Genomic DNA, 8,012 nt, shown 5'->3' on the forward strand with positions numbered 1-8,012 from the left:
GAAATACTTTTGTACAAATATTGCTTAGATCACTGTAGATTTATTAAAAGAGATAATCTGCCTTGAATACTCCCACACACCATCAATGCAAATTAACTCAGTATTAATATAAGAGCATAATGTAAAAGTTAAGTCAAGAAATGTAAAAGCTAAGTCAAAATGTGAAAAGCTGAGTCATTTAAGAGAAAACAGAAGAATAGCTTCATGAAATAGGAGTAGTCAAGAATGTTTTGGGTAGCAAATTAAAATGCTAATGAAAAAAGAAAAAAAGTGTAGATTACTTTTCATTAAACATGAAAACTCTGCTCATCAAAAGACACCAGTGATAAAATGAGGAGACTGTTCAAAATTATTAATAACATTCAACTGAAAAAAACTTGCCTCTAGTTTATATAGAAATGCTCACAACATTAAGCATTTCATTAAGCATTAAAATGCTTACATTTTATTTATCAATAAAAATGTAAAGAAATTTTTAAAAGTAGGCATAGGACTTGAATAGAAAATGCACAAGAGAAGAAACACAAAAGTTTGATGAAGAAACTCTAAAGTATTTGATATCATTTTTCATGAGGGAAATAGGAAATCATGCTGAGATACCACTCGCACCTTCCAGAAGAAGGCTAAAATTAAAATGACTGAAAACAACAGGAATTGGCAGGAAGAGGGAACAACCAAAGCTGCCATTTTCTGTCAGAGAGAAAGCAAACAAGTACCATCACTTTAGCAAAGGACAAGGCAAAACAAAATATCTTCTTTGACCGGTGGAACTAAAGGTTGGAGGTAACAGCTGGAGAGAAATGTGGGTACCTGCCTCCCAAGTGAGTGGATTAACCTGTCCTGGCCTCTTCTGAGAACCACAGCACTGCAAATCCAGTGGTTAAGAAAGCAACGTCGCCTCTTCTGTCTGAGCTTCAGTTTTCATATCAGTACACTGGGCCTTCAGCCTTGCATGGCCAGAGCCCTCCTCCTTGGGTGTGTGGGTTTCCCTTTATGTCCCCCCAAGTGTATCAGGAGCATGTGGCTTTTCCACTGTGGTTTTAAGCGCTATTTACAGGAACCATCTGCAGAGTCTGCAGAGTTCACTGTGCATGCATACAGTTGTGCAACAGTGGCTTTGTCTGAGTCACTGATTCCACTCATTCATCCTACAGATAGGAACAGGAACATTCCAGAAGGAAGGTCTATGATCCTCTTAGTCTCTGTAGCAATCTTCTCAGAGATACCTATAGGCATTATGTATCATTTCTCATTCTAAATTAACTTCATTAATTTTTTTGACACAGGAAAGTATTATAAAAACAAGGCTACAGGGGTGGCCCCAGCTTTCTTATACAAATCTTTTCTGCATGGTCATCTCAGTCTGTGCTTTTTCACACTGCACATCCTCCATGCTTCGGTCTGGGCTGAGCCACCTGGCCAGGCTTGATGGGAATTGTCTTGGAGGAAATGGGCTACTAGGCTAGCATGAACTTTGCTTCTTATGTGAAGTGATGGGGTTGGGGTAACAGGTTGTGGTAATAGGGTGACCGGGAGTCCAGACATGGCTGTTACCAGCTCCTCTTCTCTACATCTTTCTACAGATTTCACAAAGGTAGCTTCCAAAATTATTTTTCCCTATATCTTTGTTGTTCCAATCTTTTTTATTTTTAATCTCTGCCTTCTCTACTTAAGAGACAGACAGACAGACATATCTCGTGATAGCTGCAGGATGGTTCTTTGGGAGGCCTTGAACTGACCCAGTTTTCCAACCTTTCTCACTTGTAGTTCTCAGGAATAACTTTGGAATGCTCTGGTAATGCAGCAACCTGAGATATGTCAGAACTGGTCATGGCAGCCCAGGCTCTGCTCCTGTCCCACTTAGGAACGGAATGTCCTTCAAACCGTAGTTTATATCAAGAGGTCCTTGAAAATGAAACACTAAGACAAGCTTCTACTGATGAGTAGGAATGGAGCAAGCAGCCAAGCATTCTCAAAACAAAAGAAGCAACTGCATCCTGCATCCCAGGATGACTCATCTAGGATCTCTCTATCTCTGTCTGAAGTCCACCATTACAGAGCACGCTTTTAGGTCCATGACTGATGAAAAGCCTTTCTCTATGACTCCTTCTTCTCCACAGCTCCTGCTAAGGCAAACCTATCTGATAGTTCCGCTTTCACACATGTGGTTCTTACACTCAGGTGGGAGATAAAAAAGGATGGATTAGGCACTAGAGATACCTAATGGCCATGGATGGAATGTGTTACATCACTTTTGCTCACATTTGCATTCCTAGAGCCAGATCACTTAGTCCCAACCCAACAAAACTGCAAAGGATTCTGAGAAATACTGCTTCCTGTGCTCCCAAGGAAAAGAAATGGTGCTGGAAATGAAGCCCGATTTCTGCCATAGTGTATGAGAAGATACCACTCAGGGGATTTTGCTCTTTGGGGACAGTGATCATAGAAATGGGGGATAGCTGAAGAGTTACTGGGTGGAGGGTACATTATTTTTCAGATGAGATATCTTATACCATGTCTGCGTCCAGTTGAGAAGGATGAAATAGAGAAAGAAAACTGGTAAAGCAAACTGAGTTACTTGCTGAAGAGATATCCTTGAGTCACTGAGAGGAGGGTAAGATTGAGAACATGAGTAACTTGTTTGGCCTTAGAAGAGAACACAGACAGTTCATCCACGAAAAGAGGAGGAAGGCCAGAGTTTGTGGTCACTGATGGAGGCAAATTGGGACATTTGGTTGTGAGAAAGGAAGTTATTTTCTGATCGTTTTCAATTTTGCAGCGAAGTAAAAAGCAAGATCTTTAGGCAAGAGTGAAGACTGGAAAGTGTGGAAGGCTTAAGGAAAGAGGATAAGGTTTAAAGTTAGTTATTATCTGGAGGCATGGCAGAGTAAGGGAGAGAAAACGCAGCAGGATTACTGGGTAGCACTTGGGGTTACTTGATGTTAGAAGTCATTAATTTACAGTGAGAGAGGCATCATGATTGTGTATTTTTCTATAAGCAAGGCCAGTTTTTGAGGTGCGGGTAAAGAGTAAATTGAGAGTAGAATTTTGACACGGTTGAAATTTTTGACCCCCAGGACACTTAAAAGAGGGAGGGAATTATTAAAGGAAGTGGAAATTGCAAAAGAGTGATTATAATAATTAGCCTCACCATCTAAGTATGCAGGAAAAAAGTGAAGACATGAGGACAGTGAGAGGCAGTGACACAATAATTGGCTCAAGGGTTACACGGTCCTAGGAAGTTCAAGAAGTGTTGTTGTCTGGTTCCAGAAGGAAACGAGGTGAAGAGAACAAAATTACCCCCACAGATTTATCTGTGCATTTGAATTTCCAAAAAAGTGTACCAGAAAGTTCATCATTACACTGGTGACTTTATAAATTCAGCATTGTAAATTCCATTCCCTATCTGTGGTTCAAGTCAGTTCAGTGCTATGAACTCAGGCTGAGCTCACTTAAATACCACACAAGGCTACGGCAAGTCCACTCCATGCCTGCCAGTTCCTGTGTTTGTCGTGATCCGAACAGTCAAGTGAAACCATAACATTAGAAGCATGTTTATATCGTGTCATATGTCATTTTCAATTTATTTTAAGCTTGGATTCTTTTTTTTCTTTTTTAGAACAGCTTGATACCAGAAGAGTTTTGGAAATGATACTGTGTGAATAAAGCGTTAGCAAAACCCTTTCTCCTATTCATGAAATTTGACCTTGGGTTAACTTTCTAGTTCTGTTTGCCTGGAACCCTGATCAGGGTGGAAATCCAGCAGTGTTCATGAGCAATATTGCTTATAAAAATGACCTGTGATTGAATCATGAACTGCTTCAAACTGGGAGGACAGAATCAAGTAAAATATCAGTTTTGGAACCATAGTTTTGGACTTTCTGAAGTGCGGTGATTCTTGTGTCTCATATGTCCCTTGTGGAGACCTGGAAACTTTGCCTATGGAGCTATTGTCATAACATATATTGGTTCCTATCAGGAATGAGGGAATTTTAAGCCAGGGTCAGTTCTAAGCCATTACTGTACCTACTTGTGTAGGTCTAACTCGGTCACACCTGAAGTTTCCCTGGAGGGGCAGAGAGCAGCCCCTAGACTGCTGTGTGACTCCTGTCAGGCCTCCTCTCACTGCAGAACAATGTTTGGTGCTGTCCTAATGGCAGGCTGTGTTCCCTCTCCTATCTTTCTATCCTTCTAAATGAGTCCAGGGCTAAGTGTGGCCTATGATGAGTCTAAATGCATAGTTGTACTAATAAGATGGCAGACTGCACATTGCCCCTGGCTGTCATTTGTAAGTATATATGCACGTCACTCAGTATTCTGACATTGTGCAACCCAAACCCAATATGAAAAGGTAAACTGAATTCGAGGGTTTACATGAGACTATAGTTATCATCAATGACTGGATTTCCAAAATTTTTATGTTTATTAGAGCACTCTGTCTCGTGTAAAGGAATAAATTTGAATTAAACAATTACTTTTTGATGAAATTGTTCTTTAACCTCTTCTATGTATTTGTGTTCCCTGTAAGATTTTGATTGAAATAAAATTGTCTTTACTTTTGCCAAGTAGAAACATCCGCTGCTCTGTAGCTGTCACATAGAAGATGCTCCTGAACCTACCTGCATGCTGACAGTGTCAGGGAGCTCAGCACCCAGAGGCAGGATACTCCACTCCCCACAGCGTCATTGCCTGGGTGTCAGCTCTGGAATGTACTTGAAATTGTGCCTTGCCTCTGCTGCTACTGGAAGATTTAGTGGTTGCATTATAAAATATTCCTTCTAATGGGAGGGGTCAGAAGCAGGAAGGGGAGGTTAGTATTATGCAAGAAGTTTTAACTGGACTATCTATCTGCCAAATGTAGCATGGGAGGGGTGTGTGTGCATGTGCGGGTGTGTGTATCCATTTCCAGCCCCACTCCACAAGTTATCTCATCATTCATGAGTACTTCCTGTCATTCTTCCCGTTGGCACTCTCCAGCTGAGACCTCTGACACAGACCACATCATGGATAGGAACAGAGAGACCCACTGAGATCCTGGGTTAACAAATGTAGGAAGAGAAGCCACTCTTGGTAGGAGGGAGGTTGAAATCAACTGATTGCAGACATGGGTGGGAAACAGACCCTTAGTGCATGTAATTGATAAAGATGCTGTTATGAAAGACCCAGAATTGGGCATAGACATCCACAGCTGCAGAGTTTAAGGGGCCAGCATCAAAATGACCACATCTTAGAGCAGACAGGAGTGGGACAAAGATACTAAAGGACACAGAGAAGGATCAGCCTTTCAAGGGCCTCCAGGAATGAGAGAATTCTGGTGCTCATGATTTCAAGACATTCTTCATTCTCCAGGAAAAGGTGATCCCATGGATCCTGAAAGAGGAGCAACTGGAGTTTGCCTCATAACCCGCAGACACACTTTATAGGAGAGGGGTGCTACTATTTGTGGTGGCCACTGCATAGAGATTGTCCAAAGGACAGGCTCATGCCTCCTTCAGGAGCCTGTAGTTTTTCATGAGTCCTGAGCAAAAACTCCTGTGCATACTTGTTTTAGTTTCCTAGGATGACTGTAGTAAATTAACACAAGCTAGGTGGATTAAAACAACAAAAATTCATTTGCTCCAATTTCTGGAGTCCAGAAGTCTGAAATCAAAGTGTTGGCAGGGCTACACTCCCTTTAGACACTGTAGGGGAGGATCTCTTTCTTGCCTCTTTCAGCCTCAGCTTTCTTCTTCCTTCCTTCAGTGTTTGCAGATGTTTCTTTGCTTGTGGCTGCATTGCTCCAATCTCTGCTTCCTCATTCCTTCCTCTTCTTCTTCTGGACATCTGTCTCCAAACTCCCCCTGCCCATCTTGATACATGTGATTTTATTTAGGGCCTGCAATGGACTGAATGTTTGTTTCCTCTCGAAATTCCTATCTTGAAATCCTAACTGTCAATATGATGGTATTAGAAGTTGTGGCCTTTGGAGGTGATTAGGTCATGAGGGTGGAGCTCTGCTAAATGAGTTTGTGCCATTATGGAGTCTGTGACTCTAGAGAGCTCTACCAGTCTCTTTCTACCATGTGAGAGCACAAGGAGCAGTCAGCTGTCTAGAACCTGGAAGAGGTCCACAACCTCATCGGAACCCGGCCATGGTAGCATGCTGATCTTGGACTTCCATCTTCCAGGACTGTGAGAAATAAATTTGTTATTTATAAGTCACCCAGTCTACAATACTTTGTTACAGCAATCTGAAATGGCTAAAAAAGAGCCCAACCAAATAATCCAGGGTAATTCCTCCTTGCAAGATCCTTAATTTAATCATATCACATATAAGATAGTATGCACTATTTTGCCCTGTAAAGTAACATTCACGGGTCCCAGAGATTAGAATATGAATATATCATTGGAGGTTACCTTTCAGCTAACAACAGTAGTTTTCATACAAAATTTGGCAAACTGGTAGGCCCAAACTAACCATTACTATTCAGATATTGGTGCCCAGAAGGGTGCTCTGAGGGAGCAATCCCGTTTCTGGAACAAGCATTAATCTTCCTGACTTTCCTGGTGATGCATGTGGAACTCACATAGTGAGATAGGACTGCACAAAGTTTATGTTATTCCATTTCCTATCCCGTTCATCTCCACGCACTTTCCTCTGTCTTGTCCATCAGGCTCCTCTGGGTAGCAAATGTACAGTTACAGGGGTCTCATTCAGGTAGCGCAATTTCCTGGGACTGGGGCCTCCCTTAGGCCCAGGTAGGTGTGTTACTTTCCTCATGAGACATACTAGGCCTGTGTTCTTCAGGTCCATGAGGGTGGTGATGGACTCATGGACACAGAGTTCACAGTGGGCGGCCAAATGACTGCCTGTTGCTGGCAAAGGTCCTATTTCCCTCCATGATCATGGATTCCTGCAAGATCAGAGCTGGAGAAGAGAGGGATCACAGTCAGGCCTTTGATTAGAGTCTGGCTTCTATGCATCTATGAGTGTTTGTATGTTTGCTGTATACATGTTTATTTTGTGTGTCTCTTGGGTGTTTCTTGTATGTGTGCTTGTGTGTGTGTAAGGAAGGGTATGGTACTGCCTCATCATCTTTGTTTTATGTATCATTCTGTCCTTCCATGTGAAAGTGGTTGCCTGTCCTCAGCAGTTTCTTCTTTTGGCATCTCTAAGTGATGCCTCTTGAGGTGGGATGATAAGGGGAGGCAAGTCTGAAAGGAAGAGCTAGGTTATGTAACACTGGCCAGAAACTGGGAGAGAAGAACAAGAGGAATTGCTTGAACCAATTTATGACCTAGAGTATGGATTAACACATGGAGAATATGCTTGATGACATGAGTTTTGAGTGAGACAGTTGTGAATTTTCAACTTTCTAAAGCTACCTCACGTGAACTGTGAGCTCGCTGCGAGTGTCCCAACCTCTTAGATTCTCTTTTCCTCTTTTGTAAAATGATGTTTTATGAGGTCATGGTGCAAAGTTTCTAAGTACAAAATATGGCACATAAAAGGTACTCAGAAACCCCTTCTACAAGTTTTTCTTCACCTCTTGTTCCACTCTGATTCTCCTGTAAAGATTTAAATCACATGGCACCCAACCTGTACACACACCTAGCTCACTCCTGGTCCTCTCCCAGCCAGCTCCCCGCTACTCACTTTGGTTGCAGTGACAAAGTCCTGCTGTGGGTTACATGGGCTCATTGGGCTCCGAAGTTCCCCCTCACCCTTAGCTAAAAGCCTGGTGTCTGCCTGAGGGTGGCCTGCAGCTCCTTGCCCAGATTGGCCTTCAGTACTGTGGAGACACCTTCCTGTGAGGTCAACGTCGAAGCCATCATTATTCTCATAAATGTAGCAGGACCCAGCCTTTGAATCACACACACTACAGTAGCCCACTCCCTCCTCATGAATCCCCCAGTGGGGATGTGAGCCCAGACCGCAGAGTGACTTTTTATGGAGGTCCTGGAAAGCACATGAAAATATCTCAATTCATTCATTCATTCATTCTCTCTCTCTCTCTCTCTCTCTGTTTTTC

General features: G+C 42.4%; 1 long non-coding RNA gene across 1 annotated transcript in view; it reads right to left on the minus strand.

The window, feature by feature from the left end:
* Nucleotides 1–909, minus strand: part of LOC105378305 (uncharacterized) — a 198,425-nt gene extending 197,516 nt beyond the window's left edge. Inside the window, exon 1 of the long non-coding RNA NR_155748.1 lies at nt 815–909. This is a non-coding gene — a long non-coding RNA (uncharacterized LOC105378305). The remainder of the gene's footprint in view (nt 1–814) is intronic.
* Between the last annotated feature and the right edge of the window lie 7,103 nt (nt 910–8,012).

The sequence above is a fragment of the Homo sapiens genome, chromosome 10 (genome assembly GCF_000001405.40).
Source record: "Homo sapiens chromosome 10, GRCh38.p14 Primary Assembly".
Taxonomy (NCBI): domain Eukaryota; kingdom Metazoa; phylum Chordata; class Mammalia; order Primates; family Hominidae; genus Homo; species Homo sapiens.